Below are 19,018 nucleotides of genomic sequence, written 5' to 3'. Positions count from 1 at the left end.
AAAAAGGGAAATAGACTGCAGCCCCAATTGGCCAACTTTGGATTAAGTGATGGGATATTTTGTTTGATTTTTTTTGAGATGGAGTTTCACTCTGTTGCCCAGGCTGGAGTGAAATGGTGCAATCTTGGCTCACTGCAACCTCCACCTTCTGGGTTCAAGTGATTCTCCTGCCTCAGCCTTCCGAGTAGCTGGGATTACAGGCAAGTGCCACCACGTCTGGCTAATTTTTGCATTTTTAGTAGAGACAGGGTTTCTTCATGTTGGCCAGGCTGATCTCAAACTCCTGCCCTCAGGTGATCCACCTGTGTCAGCCTCCTAAATTGTTGTGATTACAGGTGTGAGCCACCTTACCTGGTCTAAATGGTTGGGTATTTTAATCCTGGGTAGAGAATGGAATTAGGTTAGAGGCCCAACTTAAAAGGGTTAGAGTCCCTCCTAAGAAACAGGGGGTTTAAAGTCCCTCTTAGTAAAGGGCAAAGATGCTTGTCTGAAATTAGGTTAGACTGCCAACTTAGGAAGTTAGAGTCCTTCCTAAGATTTAATGGGTTAGAGGCCCCCCCGCCACTCCCCTCAGTAAAGTCCTTCTTGGTTCAAAATAAATTTGGGGCTGGTTGTGGTGACTCATGCCTGTAATCCCAGCACTTTGGGAGGCCAAGGCAGGTGGATCACCTAGGGTCAGGAGTTCGAGACCAGCCTGACCAACATGATGAAACCCTGTCTCTACTAAAATTACAAAATTAGCTGGGCCTGTGGCACATACCTATAATCCCAGGTACTTGGAAGACTGAGGCAGGAGAATCACTTGAACCCAGGAGGCGGAGGTTGCAGTGAGCCGAGATTGCACCATTGCACTCCAGACTGGGCAACAAGAGCAAAACTCAGTCTCAATAAAATAAAATAATAAAATAAAATAAATTTGTCACTATGGGATGCTAATTGCTTTTCTCTTTGAATTAATCTGCCTTATGCTCTTTGCTAGTGGCTGTAGGTGACAGGATTAGGCATATACTTGATCATGGGACATGAGGATCTTTTTTCTCCCCAGAGGGGAAAACGAGAGCTGATGTGACCACTGGAAAAGATCCCTTTGTGACTGACAAGGAGCTGCCTGAACATTTGATTCAGTGTCGCTATGAGGGGTGGGTTTTCTCTGACCCCTTTGGGCTGCTCGCCTTCCCTACCCTGCTGCAGGCAATGCTTTTCTCCCTTTCTCTCCTTTCACTTTCCTATCTTTTCTGTTACTCAGGGTGACTGTCCACTCTTCCATCTTTCTCAGATACCAAAAGTTGAAACTCCCGGTCGGTGGAGATCATTCCACCCCACTTTGAGTGGATTAAAGATAATGGGGTACCAATGGGGGCAAGTTTGAACCTTGCCAGGTCTATATTGGGTGCTGAGTGGAGTGGCTAAGTGTCTATGTTTTGTCATATGTATTTTGTTCTGGCTGGGATTAAAAAAATGTTAATTTGGTTCCCCCATGCAGCCCATTGGGCAGCATCTTGCAAAATTGAGAGGCTTTTGCCTATGGTTCCATGAAACAGAAAAATATGTTTTTCCTTAGTGATGTGGCTTGGCCCACATGGCCATGGTGCAGCGAGCAGGGTCGCTAGGACCACTCAGGGAAAGGGAACCCAGAAACCTGGCATGCTGGCAAAAGCATAAGAATTTTTTACCAGTCAGACTTCTGGCCTCTCAATATCTCTCTCTCTCTCTCGTTTTCTCTCTCACTCTTTCTGTGCAAACAGGTTGAATGAATGGTAAAAATCACTATTTATCTCCTCTATAAAATTTTGATTAATGGGAAAAAGGATTTGTGAGACTAGTCTTAGGCTGTAGCAAATCTGGTGTACTTTGCACTATGAATTTGTCTTTGTGTGTAGTTCTGTTATAAAAGGGGTTACCTATAAGCCTTCTATTTAAGCTGTACCAGCAAACTGACCAGTTACAAAGTTTGTTGCAGATTCCTGAAACAAAAAGTAGGTAAAGTTTCCTTCTCGTCTTGTTTTATGTCCTTGGGAGCTTGACCTTGTGAGTATATGGGGATACTTTCTCTTGGTCTCCACTATCTAGAGGGTGAAAATTTTGGGGTTCATGTCAACAGTTGGCCTAAAAATTATAGGCCACTGAAAATTTTGGCCAAAACCACAATTACTTTTGCATGAACCTAGTATCTTGGGCTCTTAAAAACCTTTGTAAGCTCAAAATTGGCTGCTCTAGGTTCCTTCTAGGAAGGGCAATAAACACTGTCCAGTGCTGTAGCTCAGAAGCTAAGGCTTTGCCATTTCACAATGGTGACTTGGGTTCAATTCCCAGCTTAGAGAATGTACTTTCTGTTTGATATTTGTGTGATCTTTGCCATTTGTTGATTCTCCTCACCTTCATGAACAACTTCTGACTTTCCAGCTTGAATTTTCCTTTCTCTGAGCTACCTTTGAAGACTCTAGATCTTGTAAAAACTGCTTACCACCTCTTTGAAAATACCTCATACACTCATGGTTAAGTCATAAACTTAGTTAAGGCTTATTGTTTCACCTAGGAAGCTACCTTTAATAAAGTTCAAAAGCCAGAAATACTGGCTGTAGGTCCTTACTAGAGTCTAGTAATAAGAGATCTGGTTAAACGTCAGCTTAAGTTAAAGCAGATTATCCAAGCTATACATATATTTAAAAGGTCTTTATGGCTCCCCACCACCCCCACGCCCCAGTTGAATCTTGTTTTTCTGAAAAAAAAAGCTATTTTCTTCTCAGTTGACTGAATTGTTTTTCTCCATTTTATCTTCTTGCCACTGTTGACACCCAAATGAGAGGACCTAAGATAATTTCTAACAGCCTGGGACTCCTGGGGAAAAGCAGAGGAGGAGCCACAGACTCCATTTTGGAAAAACTTCTGATTTCCTCATGGAACCCCAAGAAGTGAAAGTGGATGGATCCCTCTCAAAATCTAAGGTTCTGTTCTGTTTTGCATTGAGTTACCTGACATCTTTGATGTTGATGGGTATCAGAAATTACTGTGCATTATGAGAGAGCTTTAATGGTAATAACTAGGTAGGAAATATACTTTTAGGGATGGCTAGTGGCAATTATGGGGGGATACTCGGCTTTTTGCCTGTTTGGATCAGGGAAGCATGCTCTTCGCCACATAGAAGGTATGGATACATCCCTACCCACTGCCACTGAAAAGTAAGATCCCCATGGAGGATGAGCTGAAGTCCCTCTTTTTGGTATCCAGGACCTGGTGTAAGAATTGAACCCTCAATTTTCAGCAATCTGTTTTTGCCTTCCAGCTGTGCCTTCTTATTTGGCCATAGAAACTGCATGCTTCCTGGCCCTGTTTGTCGGAGGGCTCTACCCAGAAGCCAGTAATCTAATTAAAAAATGTAAAAACTGGGAAATGAAAAATTTTACAAGTACTGGATTCTCTTCTGTTTCTGTATTTTTATGTATTATGTGTGTGATGTTTATATATGAGAGCTCTGATTAATTGGCTTAAAAATAAGCACTTATGTATCAAAGATTTTCTCAGAAAAATAAAGACTTTAATGCCTTTTAGTTCATGTGACTTTAGTAATCTTTAGGAAATAAAGACACTTTTAAAGATTATTAGTAAAGTAAAAATGTTTTCAAAATTTAGACAGTTGGTCTAAATTAGGTCACATATTAGATTTGATAAATGCCTTAATGTCATAAACTACTTCTTTAATTTGATAATTGTTCAAATTACTTGCCTTGGAGCCACTAAATTCCAGATAAGGCAGGGGACATGTGGAGTTAGCTATGCCCCCTAACTATGCTGGAAAGACTCAGACCTTATCTGTACTTCTGTCTGGTGTCCTAGGCTCCACATCTGGTACATAAATAAAATCACTTACTTGCCAGAGTTTTTACCAACATAGAAGTTGCTAAGAGTTAATACTGAAACATATATAATTGAGACTACTAGCAAAATAGTTTTACATGCAAGGTGTGTAAGGAAAGTAAAATGTGTTTTAGTACAAGATTTTAAAAAGGCATGGGAATATGGAATTTTTGTGTGTGCCTAGTTTAGAAAGTTAGTCTAGAACTAAACAGTTGAGCAAGATGTGGAAGGTTTGTGAGAAGTTAATCTTGTAAAAAAATTCTGTATGTGAACCTATTGACTAAAGTTAAAGGAATATTATTCAATTTTTAAATAAATTGAACATCAAAATAAAAGCACAACAGGGTTTTCTTAGAATATTGATCTACTCTTTCTCTCTTTTTTTTTTTTTTTTCTGGAGGCAGGGTCTCACTGTATCACCCAGACCAGAGTGCAGTGGCACGATCACAGCCCTCTGCAGCCGCCACCTCTTGGGCTAAAGTGATTCTCCCTCCTTAGCCTCCCTAGTAGCTGGAACTACAGGTGTGCACCTCCATGCCTGGCTAATTTTTGCATTTTTTTTGTAGAGATGGGGTTTTGTCATGTTTCCCATGCAGGTCTCCAACTCCTAGGCTAAGGAATCCACTCACCTTGACCTCTCAAAGTAGTTGGATTATAGGCATGGCCACTGTGCCTGGCCTCAGCTAATTTTTTGTATTTTTCATAGAGACAGGGCTTTGTCATTTTGCCTAGGCTGGCCTTGAACTTCTGGGCACAAGCAACCTGCCCATTCAGACTCCCAAAGTGCTGAGATTACAAATATAGAGCCACCACGCCTGGCCAGATCTGCTGTTTAACAGAAAATTGTTAAAAGGTTTATGAGACTCTTACCTCATGGTCAAACTGATTAAGGTTGAATACTTTGTCTATAAGGTTTTATTAAGATTTGGATTTGACATTGATAGTACTCTAATGCAAAGGTGAAATTTGGCTTTCTCTCAAACAAAATTTTCATGTAATATTAAAAGATAATGAAAGATTTCTGTTTGCCTTTTGAATAAACTACAAGAAAAAGAAGGGAGAAAAGAGACAGATTGTCTGGAAAATGAAGTCTTCCTTTTATCAATGAATACAGGTTTTTGCCTTTAAAAAATTTTTCAGTTATCATTTTGGCTAATTAAATGACTAATGGTGACATGAAATTTTATTTTACAAGTATTTTAAAACTTTGATACTTGACAAACTTTCCAAAATCAAATTCTAAGTGATGTCTTTTTCTTACCTAATTAACCTTATAGATACTAAGTCCCCTAAAGTCCAAAAATGACATATTTGGATTATTTTGGTATATTAAAATCATACAGGTAGCATTGTCAAATATGAAATGGTGTTTGGTTTTCTTTAGGTTGCATTTGTATAAGTATGTTATTGGTATGTGTTCCAAAATTATGAGAAACCCCTGTAATTCTGATATGACTTGGTATATGTTTTGAGGAATAAATATAATTGTTATGTTAAATTGTTGTGTACCACAGAAGTAACCAAATTTTCTTATCAATTTTGTCTTTGATTGTGACTGCCCTAAGACTTCTTGTCATCCATAGACAATTGTTTTCTTATTTTGATCCTCCTTCAAAAGACAGTTTATAATTAGCGATACCACTCTCATGAGTACTCCTAAACATAGTCTGTGATAATTTTGGAAAGTGTGCTATTAAAATAAAGAGGAAAGAACTTCCAAGATTCTCTTGGAAAACGAATGTGTTCACAAATGTCGAGCAAAACAGGAATTAACTGCATAGGCTAAACTAATAAAAGGCCAAAGTAATCTTTTTATGACTTTTTGTTTAAAACATTGCTGATCCTTTCTGTTTTGGTTTTCAGAGTCAAGAAAACTTTTTTCTTTTTAGCTATTTATGGCTTTTAGCAGTTAAGTAAAGTATACTCCTATAAATAAATTTTGGAGCATATCTCTCTCCACCTGATTTTTCCAGAATTTGGAAACTATTTGTGAGTATTTGTATGATGATATAGTTATTTGCAAAAGTACAATAAGAATCTGTTTTCTTTTGTAATAGGACACAATTGGAGAAATTGTTTTTGTTTTTTTTCTTACCAAGGCTTTGACTGGAATGGCATGCTTTCACATATAAACATCCTGCTCTAAGGAATCAAAGTTGACTTATAGAGCTAATAAAAGCCCCTTGGAAAAACTAGCTTCATACCTTGCCTATGCATTCCCTGTACAGGATTCTTGACCTGTGGTAAGTAAAGAATTTTTTCTGACAGGCCCAGGAGCCCCAGGTTATCTTGAGACCTCAAGAGGAGAGGAATTTATCCAATTCATATAGGTATTTGCAGGCAGAGAGAAACTCATCGCTGGGCTCAAGGCTTCAAATGTCCAATATGAGATTCCTTACGGAACAAAGTTCCTTCAAAGGCAATTCAAAAAGATCCTATGTGGAAAGTAATTATTCTTGCTGCACCTTGTACAAATAATCAGGCTAAGTATAATAAAACTAAAACTTATTTTGCAAACAAATCCATCCTATTGCACTTTGTTTTTAATAAAAGTGGGGACTGGAGAGAGAAAAATTATGTTTCAAAAACTATGGTACATTTTTTATTAGATTCTAGTCTCATCCATTTTGAGATTTTCTGAAATTTAGACTGACCCTGCTTATTCCTGTGAACCAACCAGTGATCTCTGGCTGCAGCTCAGAGGAAATAAGAGGGATGGGAAATGTAAAAATCGGATCAATAATCTAATTCTGGGCACATACTAGAGTCAGCTAGTCACTCTGTATCAGCATGGTTCCATCAATTGTCCAGCTCATGGAAAGCCTTATTTAGTTTACTTTGGGATAATTTTACTTATTTTGCTTTACTGTTGTGGAATATATTGCTGTTGTACTCTTTGTGTAAGAATGCAGGATAAGCTTGCTAAAATTTTCTTAAATGGAACATATATTCATCTTCCAGATGTCACCTTTTGTAAAGACTCAGAGTTATGAATGGCTCTCACCATGTTGATGCTGACTGAGCTCCTCTCTACCCTGAATACAAGGGACCCTGGTAGTTAGGCAGGAATATCATTGCCCCTATTCAACCTGAAGAATTCACAGAAGATGGATCTTTATCCCTCTACAACCCTTTAAGGGTCCCCTTTTAAAAGCTGGGGTGGGATATGGCAGAGGCGTTTGAACCAGAGTGACTTCATCTTGAATAGGGGGTGGGTAAAATGAGGATCTGAGCTGCTAGGCTGCATTCCTAGGAGGTTAAGCATTCTTAGCTACAGGATGAGATAGGTTGGCAGGACTGGTATCACAAGATACAGACCACAAATACCCTGCTGATAAAACAGAATATGGCAGAAAAGCTGCCACCAAAACCAAGATGGCAATGAAAGTGACCTCTGGTCATCCTCACTGCTCATTATACACTAATTATAATGCATTAGCATGCTAAAAGACACTCCCACCAGCACCATGACAATTCACAAATGCCATGGCAATGTCTGGAAGCTACCAATATGGTTTAAAAAGGGGAAGAACCCTCAGTTCCAAGAATCCTCCACCCCTTTCTGGAAAACTCATGAATAATTCACCCCTTGTTTAGCATATAACCAAGAAATAACTATAACTATACTCAGTTGAGCAGCCCATGCTGCTGCTCTGTCTATGGAGAAGACATTCTTTTGTTTCTGTACTTTCTTAATAAACTTGCTTTCACTTCACTCTATGGACTTGCCTCAAATTCTTTCTTGTGCAAGAACCAAGACCCCTCTTTTGGGGTCTGGATTGGAACCCATTTTTGTTAACAATTTTACTTCTTCTTTTCCAATTGGGATACATTTTCTTTCTCATGCTTGCCTCATTAGCTCTGACTAGAATTTCCTAGAATTTGTTGAATAGACATGATGAAGACACACATAATTAGTTTTATATGATTATTTTTTATTTACTTATGTATTTATATTTTTATTTTCTTAGAACAGGCTCTTGCTCCATCATCCAGGCTGGGGACCAGTGGCACAATTATAGCTCACTGTAGTCTTGAACTCCTGGCCTCAAGGGATCCTCCCACCTCATCTTTCTGAGTAGCCAGTAATATGGGCATGTGCCACCGCATTTTTTTTTTTCGTTTATTTTTTAGGGTAAGGCACTCCAGCTGTAGAGCCACCACATTTGGCTAATTAATTTTTTAAAATTAATTTATTTATTTATTGTAGAGACAGAGTCTTGCTATATTGCCCAGGCTGATCTTGAACTCCTGGTCTCAAACGATCCTCCTGCCTCAGCCTGCACAGGAATTATAGGCATGAGCCACCATGCTCAGCCATATTTTTATGTTCAGAGATGATGCCTATTTGTGTGAATGTAACTAAAATAATAAGATGTGAACTTATAAATCTCTTCCATATTGCACATATTAACGTCTACACATCAGGCTGGCTGTGGTATTAGGGTTATTTTGGTACTCTGAGAGACTTTATCATATTAATTTAGATTTCAACTGAATATCTATGAAGCAGTTTTTTTTCTTTTTAAAAAATTTTTCATAAGTTATTGGGGTACAGGTGGTATTCGGTTATATGAGTAAATTCTTTAGTGGTGATTTGTGAGCTTTTGTTGCCCCTATTACTCCAGCAGTATACACTGCATCATATTTGTAGTCTTTTATCCCTTGCCCCCCTCCCATTCTTCCCCTCAAGTCCCCAAAGTCCATCATATCATTCTTATGCCTTTGTGTCCTCATAGCTTAGCTCCCACATATCAGTGAGAACATACAATATTTGGTTTTCCATTCCTGAGTTACTTCACTTAGAATAATAGTCTCCAATCTCGTCGAGGTCACTGCAAATGCTGGCAATTCATTCCTTTTTATGGCTGCATAATATTCCATCATATATATGATATATATATGTGATATATATGTGATATATATGTGACATATATATGCGATATATATGTGACATATATGTGATATATATGTGATATATATGTGACATATATATGTGACATATATGTGATATATATATGTGATATATATGTGACATATATATGTGATATATATGTCACATATATATGTGATATATATGTGACATATATATGTGACATATATATGTGATATATATGTGACATATATATGTGACATATATATGTGACATATATGTGATATATATGTGATATATATGTGATATATATATGTGACATATACATATATATATATATATATATCACTATTTCTTTAACCACTCATTGATTGATGGGCATTTGGGTTGGTTCCATGATTTTGCAATTGTGAATTGTGCTGCTATAAACATGCACGTGCAAGTGTGTTTTTGAATAATACTTCTTTTCTTCTGGGTAGATACCCAGTAGTGGGATTGTTGGATTGAATGGTAATTCTACTTTTAGTTCTTTAAGGAATCTCCACACTGTATTCCATAGCGGCTGTACTAGTTTACATTCCCACCAGTAGTGTAGAAGTGTTCCCTCTTCACCGCATCCATCCCAAAATCTACTGTTTTTTTATTTTTTGATTATGGCCATTCTTGCAGGAGAGATGTGGTATTGCATTGTGGTTTTGATTTGCATTTCCCTGATCATTAGTGATGCTGAGCATTTTTTCATATGTTTGTTGGCCATTTGTATATCTTCTTTTGGGAATTGTCTATTCATGTCCTTAGCCCACTTTCTGATGGGATTGTTTGTTTTTTTCCTACTGATTTGTTTGAGTTTGTTGTAGATTCTAGATATTAGTCCTTTGTCAGATGTATAGATTGTGAAAATTTTCTCCCACTCTGTGGGTTGTCTGTTTACTCTGCTGACTGTTCCTTTTGCCGTGCAAAAGCTCTTTAGTTTTATTAGGTCCCAGCTATTTATCTTTGCTTTTATTGCATTTGCTTTTGGGTTCTTGGTCATGAAATCCTTGCCTAAGCCAATGTGTAGAAGGGTTTTTCCAATGTTATCTTCTAGAATTTTTATAGTTTCAGGTCTTAGTTTTAAGTCCTTAATCCATCTTGAGTTGATTTTTGTATAAGGTGAGAGATGAGGATCCAGTTTCATGCTCCTGCATGTGGCTAGCCAATTGCCCCAGCACCATTTGTTGAAAAGGGTGTCCTTTCCCCACTTTATATTTTTGTTTACTTTCTCGAAGATCAGTGGGCTGTAAGTATTCAGGTTTATTTCTTGGTTCTCTATTTTTGTTTCATTGGCCCATGTGCCTATTTTTGTACAACTACTATGCTGTTTTGGTGACTATGGCCTTATAGTATAGTATAGTTTGAAATCAGGTAGTGTGATGCCTCCAGATTTGTTCTTTTTGCTTAGTCTTGCTTTGGCTATGTGGGCTCTTTTTTGGTTCCATATGAACTTTAGAATTGTTTTTTTCTAATTCTGTGAAGAATGATGGTGGTATTTTGAAGGGAATTGCATTGAATTTTTAGATTGCTTTTGGCAGTAGGGCCATTTTCACAATATTGATTCTACCTATCCATGAGCATGAGATATGTTTCTATTTGTTTGTGTCATCTATGATTTCTTTTAGCAGTGTTTTGTAGCTTTCCTTGTAAAGGTCTTTTGACTCCTTGGTTAGGTATATTCCTAAGTATTTTATTTTATTTTTTTGCAGTTATTATAAAAGGGGTTGAGTTCTTGATTTGATCTCTGCTTGGTCACTGTTTGTGTATAGAAGAGCTACTGATTTGTGTACATTAATCTTGTATCTGGAAACTTTGCTGAATTCTTTTATCATTTGTAGGAGCTTTCTGAAGGAATCCTTATGGTTTTCAAGGTAAACGATCAAATCTTCAGCAAACAGTGACAGTTTGACTTCCTCTTTGCCAATTTGGTTGCCCTTTATTTCTTTCTCTTGTCTGATTGCTCTGGCTAGGAATTCCAGTACTATGTTGAAGAAGAGTGGTGACAGTTGGCACCTTTGTCTTGTTCTAATTCTCAGAGGGAATGCTTTCAACTTTTCCCCATTCAGTATTATGTCGGCTGTGGGTTTGTCATAGATGGCTTTTAGTACATTAAGGTATGTCCCTTGTACGCTGATTTTGCTGAGAGTATTAATCGTGAAGAGATGCTGGATTTCGTCAAATGCTTCTTCTGCATCTATTGAAATGATCATGTGATTTTTGTTTTTAATTCTGTTTCAATTCATTTAGTTCTGCTCTGACCTTGGTTATTTCCTTTCTTCTGATAGGTTTGGGTTTGGTTTGTTCTTGTTTCTCTAGTTCCTTGGGTGTTAACCTTAGAGTGTCAGTTTGTACTCTTTCAGAGTTTTTGATGTAGGCATTTAGGGCTATGAACTTTCCTCTTAGAACCTCCTTTGCTGTATCCTAGAGGTTTTGACAGGCTGGGTCATTATTGTCGTTCAGTTTGAAGAATTTTTTTTTTTTTTTTTTTTTTTTTTTTTTTTTTTTTGAGACGGAATTTTGCTGTTTCACCCAGGCTGGAGTGCAGTGGCGCAATCTCAGCTCACTGCAACCTCTGCCTCCCAGGTTCAAGTGATTCTCATGCCTTAGCCTCCCAAGTAGCTGGGATTACAGGCGCACACCACCATGCCCAGCTAATTTTTGTATTTTTAGTAGAGATGGGGTTTCACTATGTTGGACAGGCTGGTCTTGAACTCCTGACCTCAGGTGATCCACTCACTTTGGCCTCCCAAAGTGCTGGGATGACAGGCATGAGTCACCACACCCAGCCGAATTTTTAAATTTTCATTTTGATTTTGTTTGTGACCCAATGCTCATTCAGGAGCAGGTTATTTAATTTCCATGTATTTGCATGATTTTGAAGGTTCCTTTTGGAGTTGATTTCCAGTTTTATTCCAGTGTGGTCTGAGAGAATGCTTGATATAATTTCAATTTTCTTAAATTCATTGAGGCTCGTTTTATGACCTATCATATGGTTATCTTGGAGAAAGTTCCATGTGCTGTTGAATAAAATTTGCATTCTGCAGTTGCTGGATGAAATGTTGTGTATATATCTGTTAAGTCCATTTGTTCCAAGGCATAGTTTAAATCCATTATTTATTTGTTGACTTTCTGTCTTGATGACCTGTCCAGTGCTGTCAGTGGAGCATTGAAGTCCATTATTATTGCATTGCTGTCTATCTCATTTCTTAAGTCTATTAGTAATTGTTTTATAAACTTGGGAGCTCCAGTTTTAGGTACATATATGTTTAGAATTATGATGTTTTCCTGTTGGAGAAGGCCTTTTTACCATTATATAACATCCCTCTTTGTCTCTTTTAACTGCTGTTACTTTAAAGTTTGTTTTGTCTGATATAAGAATAGCCACCCCTGCTCACTTTTGGTGTCTATTTGCATGAAATGCCTTTTTCCACCCCTTTACTTTAAGTTTATGTGAGTCCTTATGTGTTAGGTGAGTCTCCTGAAGGCAGCAGATGGTTGGTTGGTGAGTTCTTATCCATTCTGTGGTTCTGCGTCTTTTAAGTGGAGCATTTAGGCCATTTACATTCAATATTGGTATTGAAATGTGAGGTACCATTGCATTCATCATGCTCTTTGTTGCCTGCGTACTTTTTTTTTTGTTCTTGCTTTTTAACTTGTATTTTTGTTTTATAGTTCCTGTGTGATTTATGCTTTAAAGAGGTTCTGTTTTCATGTGTTTCCAGGATTTGTTTCAAGATTTAGAGCTCCTTTTAGCAGTTCTTGTAGTGGTGGCTTGGGAATGGTGAATTTTTTCAGCATTTGTTTGTCTGAAAAAGACTGTATCTTTCCTTCACACATGATGCTTAGTTTCTTTCACTGGATAAAAAATTCTTGGCTGATAATTGTTTTGTTTGAGGAGGCTAAAGATAGGGCCCCAATCCCTAATAGCTTGTAGAGTTTCTGCTGATAAATCTGCTGTTAATCTGATAGGTTTTCCTTTATAGGTTACCTGGTTCTTCTGTCTCACAGCTCTTAAGATTCCTTCCTTCATCTTAGCTTTGGATAACCTGATGAAAATATGCCTAGGTGAAGATCTTTTTGTGATCAATTTCCCAGGTGTTCTTTGTGCTTCTTGTATTTGGATGTCTAGGTCTCTAGCAAGGCTGAGGAAGTTTTCCTTGATTATTCCCCCAAATGTGTTTTCCAAACTTTTAGAATTCTCTTCTTCCACAGTAACACCGATTATTCTTAGATTTGGTCATTTAACATAATCCCAGACTTCTTGGAGGCTTTGTCCATGTTTTCTTATTTTTTTTCTTTGTCTTGGTTGGATTGGGTTAATTCGAAGACCTCGTCTTTGAGCTCTGAATTTCTTTCTTCTACTTGTTCAATTCTACTGCTGAGACTTTCCAGAGCATTTTGCATTTCTAAAAGTGTGTCCAAGGTTTCCTGAATTTTTTATTGTTTTTTCTTTAAGTGACCTATTTCCTTGAATATTTCTCCCTTCACTTCTTGTATCATTTTTTGGATTTCCTTGCATTGGGCTTCACCTTTCTGTGGTCCTTCTCTGATTAGCTTAATAACTAACCTCCTGGATTCTTTTTCAGGTAAATCAGGGATTTCTTCTTGGTTTGGATCCATTGTTGGTGAACTGGTATGATTTTTTTGGGGTGTTGAAGAGCCTTGTTTTGTCATATTACCAGAGTTGGTTTTCTGGTTCCTTCTCATTTGGGTAGGCTCTGTCAGAGAGAAGGTCTAGGGCTGAAGGCTGTTGTTCAGATTCTTTTGTCCCAAGTGGTGTTCCCTTGATGTAGCACTCTCCCTCTTTTCCTATAGATGTGGCATCCTGTGAGCTGAACTGCAGGGATTGTTGTCTCTCTTATGAGTCTAGCCACCCACCCAGTGAGTATACCTGGTCCGGGCTGGTATTGGGGATTGTCTGCATAGAATCTTGTGATGTGAACCATCTATGGGTCTCTCGGCCATGGATATCAGTGCCTGTTCTGGTAGAGATGGCAGGTGGAAGGGGTGCAATGGACTCCCTGAGGGTTCTTAGCTTTGGTGGTTTAATGCTCTATTTTTGTGCTGGTTGGCCTCCTGCCAGGAGGTGGCACTTTCCAGAGAACATCAGCTGCAGTAGCATGGGGAGGAACTGGTGGTGGGTGGGGCCATAGAACTCCCAAGATTATATGCCGTTTGTCTTCCGCTACCAGGGTGGGTAGGAAAGGACCATCATCAGGTGGGGGTGGGGCTAATTTTGAGGTCAGACTTTCCTTGGGCAGGTCTTCCTGCAGCTGCTGTGAAGAATAGGGATGAGATTCCCAGGTCACTGGAGTTGTGTACCTAGGAGGATTATGGCTGCCTCTGCTGAGTCAGGCAGGTTGTAGGGAAAGCCAGCAGTTCCAGGCCTCACCCAGCTCCCACACAAACTGAAGGGCTGGTCTCATTCTCACTGCGCCCCACCCCCACCCCCCATCAATAGCCCCCAGTTCATTTCCAGGTGGAGAGCTATTATGGGCTTGAAAACCTGCCCCAGGCTACCTGCTTCCTAGCTGTGAAAGAAAAGGGCTTGGTTCTTCTCCTGCTGTGGAGTCTGCCCACTGGATTTTTGCCTTCCCCTGAGTTCTGGCCAGGAGGCTTCTCACCCCGTTCAAATTTTTACGAAGTTAAGCTAGAGATTTACTTGTTCCTGCGTAGTTTTACCCTCTGCTCCTCTCCCATTGGATCCCTGTGGTGCCAGGCAGGACTGGCCTGCTAGGGGACCCAGTGAGCTCCCCCCACAGGGCCTATCTGCTGCTTCCTCTATCCCTGTATTTTGCTCAGCTCTCCAAATTGACTCAGCTCCAGGTAAAGTCAGAAACTTCTGCAGGTAAAGACCTTCGACTTCTCCAGTGGGAAGTGTGCCCACTTCCACGGTTGGGGCACTCATAGTTTGGGGGGGGTGTCCCAGGTCCTGCAGGAGCAGTCCGCCTCCTTCAGAGGGTGTGTGGGTCCTCTTGGGATTGCTGGTTTGTTCTTGCGGTTGATCTGGAGCTAAAATTCACAATGCAGGCCCCCACACACTGCTCTGTCCAGAGCTGCAATCTAGTCTTGCCTCTTGTCTGCCATGATGATCTTAAACCTCAATTCAATATCTACGAAACAGTTCTGTGTTGGTCATCCCATTTAATTGGCTCTAACAACTATTTGCTTATCCTATTATTACCTCTTCTCTAACATGAAATGAGTATTTGATAGATTCTTTTAACCTGAAAATTTATTCCTTTGTTTTTTTAGTCTTTAAATGTTTAAATTGTGAAATATATAATTTATCTCAATGTAACTATAATGCATATGTACCTCTGACTGTATTTTTTCTTTTCATGTTTTATCAGATTTTAGTATCAATATTATTTTATAAAAATATAAAAACGAGCTTTTCTATTGTAGCAGACAAGCTGCAGAGAAAACTCCTCAGACATCGAGTTAAAGAAGGAAGGGCTTTATTTGGCCGGGAGCTTCAGCAAGACTTGCTTCTCCAACAGTCGAGCTCCTTGAGTGAGCAATTCCTGTCCTTTTTAAGGGCTCATAACCCTAAGGGGGTCCACATGAGAGGGTTGTGATTGATTGAGCAAGCAGGGGGTAGGTGACTGGGAGCTGCATGCACTGGTAATTAGAACAGAACAGAACAGGTCAGGGATTTTCACAGTACTTTTCTATACAATGTCTGTAATCTATAGATAACATAACCACTTAGGTCAGGGGTTGATCTTTAACTACCAGGCCCAGGGTGTGGTGCCGGGCTGTCTGCTTGTGGATTTCATTTCTGCCTTTTAGTTTTTACTTCTTCTTTCTTTGGAGGCAGAAATTGGGCATAAGACAATATGAGGGGTGGTCTCCTCCCTTATTCCCCCCCTTTGAGACTCTCAATAGTGGGAGTTCTCACTTTCATTTTTGCTACCTATGTCTTCTTGCAAGACAGATCAATAGTGATTCATATAGTACACTTGTGCTGAAGCATTTTGGTGAACTAAGGTAGCAATGAAGCTTTTTATCATTTGAAGAAGTACAGGAAGCAAACTAGGGAGCAGTGAGCAGGTTTCTATTACTGTTATAACTCCTAGTATAAGAGTTTTAAATTTTTTAGCGCTGGGCACCATTTTCTAAACATGGTCTCAGGATCAAATCCATGCCACACTTACACGGGCAAACGTGCCAGTTTTGTCATATTTCTAACTATGTCTTTAACTACTTGGCCTTGATCATCTATGTGTAGACAGCAATTAGTAAGGTTAAATTTTCTACAGACCTCTCCTTCAGCTGCTAGCAAGTAGTTGAGAGCCAATCTATTTTGATAGATAGCATTTCTCATCTGAGTTTCTTGCCAGGCCTGAATAGTCAAGGCTCTGCTAGTCTTATTATTGATTATTTCTAAGACAGCTTGTAATCGTATGATTCAGTTGAGCATGTAAATGGGGGTTGGGTATCCCCACGAGCCATCTTGTGCCTAAGTACCAGGCCTATAATATTGTATGATTCTCTCAGGGGGCCATTTATTATGGTTTTAATTTTTTATAGCTATGTTTCTCTTTTTACAGGAAGCACAGACAGGGAAGCCTAGGAGTTTGCCTGTCTTTATGGGCAGTAAGAAGAAAGATGGTTTAATAGTGCCAATAACACAACTACCTGCCCACTGGTCGGGTAATTTGGTGCAAGCTCTATGCCCACATATCCAGTATAATCCAGTGGGGGCTGTCCAGTTCCGGTGGGACTCCGGGTGGGTTCACACAGTTTGCAACTTTGGGAATTTACTAAACGGATTTTTCTTAGTGTGGTTTGAACTCCACTAGGTGGCTGTTTTTGTAGTATTATTATACAGTTTTTGCCTAAGGCAGCTAAGTCGTCCTACAGGAAGCGTGAAGTCCTTCCCCAATCTTGCTATACAGTATTGTCTAATGATTGAGGCTTTTAGGACCTAGAAATTATCAGGGTGATTTTTTTGAGCTGGGAATTCATCAGGAATTGGGTATGTAGGTACTAATTCTCGGGCTTCCCATGGCCATTGATCTCTTATTATAGTTCTACATACTTAACGTGAAGTGACATTGAGAGACTGGGCTACATGCTCAACTAATTGCAAAAACAAATTTCTTCTTTTTCCTGGAATTTCTGGTACTGGCACATTCAGTTTATCATAGAAGGTTTGAAATACTGGCTCAGGAGAGCATTTATAAATGTCTCCTCAAACTATGATATTTACTCGAGGATCCAGTCTAGCCTTATTGATTCCTAGGGTTACATGCTCTCCTTTTTTCCAGCGAGGATCAAGGGGGTTGTTTATTACTAGTTCTAAGGGGTTACACTGACCACTGGTACGGGAAGGGCCACTTTTCCCTTTCTGAAGGTGGACAGGATGTTTTTTATTTTTTATCTAAGTAGCCTAAGTGACACAAGACCAGTATCTACATTTATCATAGTCTTAATTTATGACAAATGTACTTATTTTTTGCCATATAGCCTTTTTCTTGATTAAGAGAACCATATCCTATTTTTAACTTGTTACTATTAATGACAGCACAGGCATCAAACTTCAAGGTGACTTGTTTGGGCACCTCTTTTTCTTTTGTTGTAGCCAACACTTTACTCATATCATTTATGAGCCCTCACCAGTCCTTAGTCTTTAATCTTATTTCAAAAACTGTGGTCATGGGAGGCTCAGATGGGTCATAACACACATCAGGTTGGTCATTTCCTGGGCTACACACCTTGCATAGGTATGTATTATACAAACAAGTTTTTTTTTAGAGTCTGGTACACTTATAATAATCATAAAATAATAGGACTGTAGCAACTTTTTGTCCTACCTCAGTGACTTGATGTATACACTGGGAACAGTCCTCAGTCTGAGGAAGGTCAGTTAAAGTCCTTACTGTACAAGTCCAAATTATAAGGAAAATGAGTCCTGCGATGAGTTTTCTCATGCTTTGGCCATGCGTCGACCAGTCAGCTTCTGGGCGTGACTGGAGCAGGGCTTGTCGTCTTCTTTGGAGTCACTTTGGAGTGGTTGGCAAAGCTGCTCCCGTCCACGTACTGCTCACAGTCTACTGAAGTTCATGGACGGTTTCAGACGTTGGGCCTGCTGGAATAAACTGAGTCCAACACCTCTACACAGTTATGTTCAACTGGGCTCTCTGATACCAGGAACAAGGTGGCGGGGCTTAGGGTGTTGCAAACTTCAATAGTTATGCGGGGATTTTCACATAGCAAGCTTTGGTACTTGGCTAATCTAGCATTTGTTAACCAATGATGTCCTTTGGTAGTCATTAAAGTTACCACAGCATAGGGGGGCCTTTATATTCAGGTTTTGCCTAAGGGTTAGTTTATCTGCTTCTTGTGCAAACAGGGTCGGTTGCTGCCGAGGCCCTTAGACATGAGGGCCAACCTTTGGAAACCCCATCTAGTTGTTTTGAGAGATAGGCCAGTTGCCTTGGCCAGGGCCCCACAGTCTGGGTTAAAACTCTAACTGCCATTTTTTCTCTTTTTGACACATAGGCTATAAAGGGTTTTGTCAGGTCAGGTAGCCCCAGGGCTGGGGCCGACATGAGTTTTTCTTTTAACTCATGAAAAGCTTATTGCTGTTGGTTGTAATAGATGTGGTTTATCCAGTTTATATTTTTATTAACTGTCACCTACCAAAATATTGACTCAAATCCTGCAGCTATTTGATTTCAAGCTTTAAACTGATCTGGTATTCCCCGTGGGACTCTAATTGTGTCTAAATGCACGTGAGAGTCGAAAGACCTATAAGGGGCTTCTCTCGTTTTACGATGTCTTATTTTTCCTCCTTCTGGTTGATGAAATGCCAGGGTGAAAGGGATAGCCAATTGGACTAAAGTACAAGTGACACTCCAGTTATTTGGCAGAGTGCCTAGTAAAGGTCCACCACAACACCACCATACAGCAGCTCAGGGATGAACAAAGGCTGACTGGTTGATAAGCTCTTGAAAATTTTTAAGCTCACTGCATCCTTTCAGGTCTCCAAGGAATGCTAAGTTTCCTCCTTGTCATGAGAGACATGAAGTGAACTTAGTGTTGGGAGATGGAGGCTGGATGGCCCTCAGGTGCGGACTCGCAGGGTGCTGGACTTTGGGATATAGCAGAGAGAACTTGGCACGACTTATTACTCCAGGCCATAGAATCCTGGAAAACAGCTACCATGCAGCCCACACCTGGTCGACTGGAGGATCACCTTAGTGGAAAGGGGACAATCTGGTCCTCTGGCCTGCCATGTGCATAAGC

At 39.6% G+C, this 19,018-nt stretch overlaps 1 long non-coding RNA gene across 2 annotated transcripts in view; it reads left to right on the top strand.

Annotated features, from left to right (window-relative positions):
* Positions 1-858: 858 nt before the first annotated feature.
* LOC105375846 (uncharacterized) overlaps positions 859-19,018 on the top strand; it is a 35,038-nt gene continuing 16,878 nt past the window's right edge. The window contains exons 1-2 of one of the 2 annotated variants that reach the window (XR_001745917.2): positions 859-5,844; positions 5,955-6,098. This is a non-coding gene — a long non-coding RNA (uncharacterized LOC105375846). Of the gene's footprint in view, positions 6,099-19,018 lie in introns of both variants that reach the window. The other variant, XR_001745916.2, reaches the window with a different exon arrangement.

This window comes from Homo sapiens, chromosome 8 (genome assembly GCF_000001405.40).
Source record: "Homo sapiens chromosome 8, GRCh38.p14 Primary Assembly".
Lineage (NCBI taxonomy): Eukaryota > Metazoa > Chordata > Mammalia > Primates > Hominidae > Homo > Homo sapiens.
The sequence above is the reverse complement of the archived record's forward strand: the minus strand, read 5'-3'. Positions and strand labels throughout refer to the sequence as shown.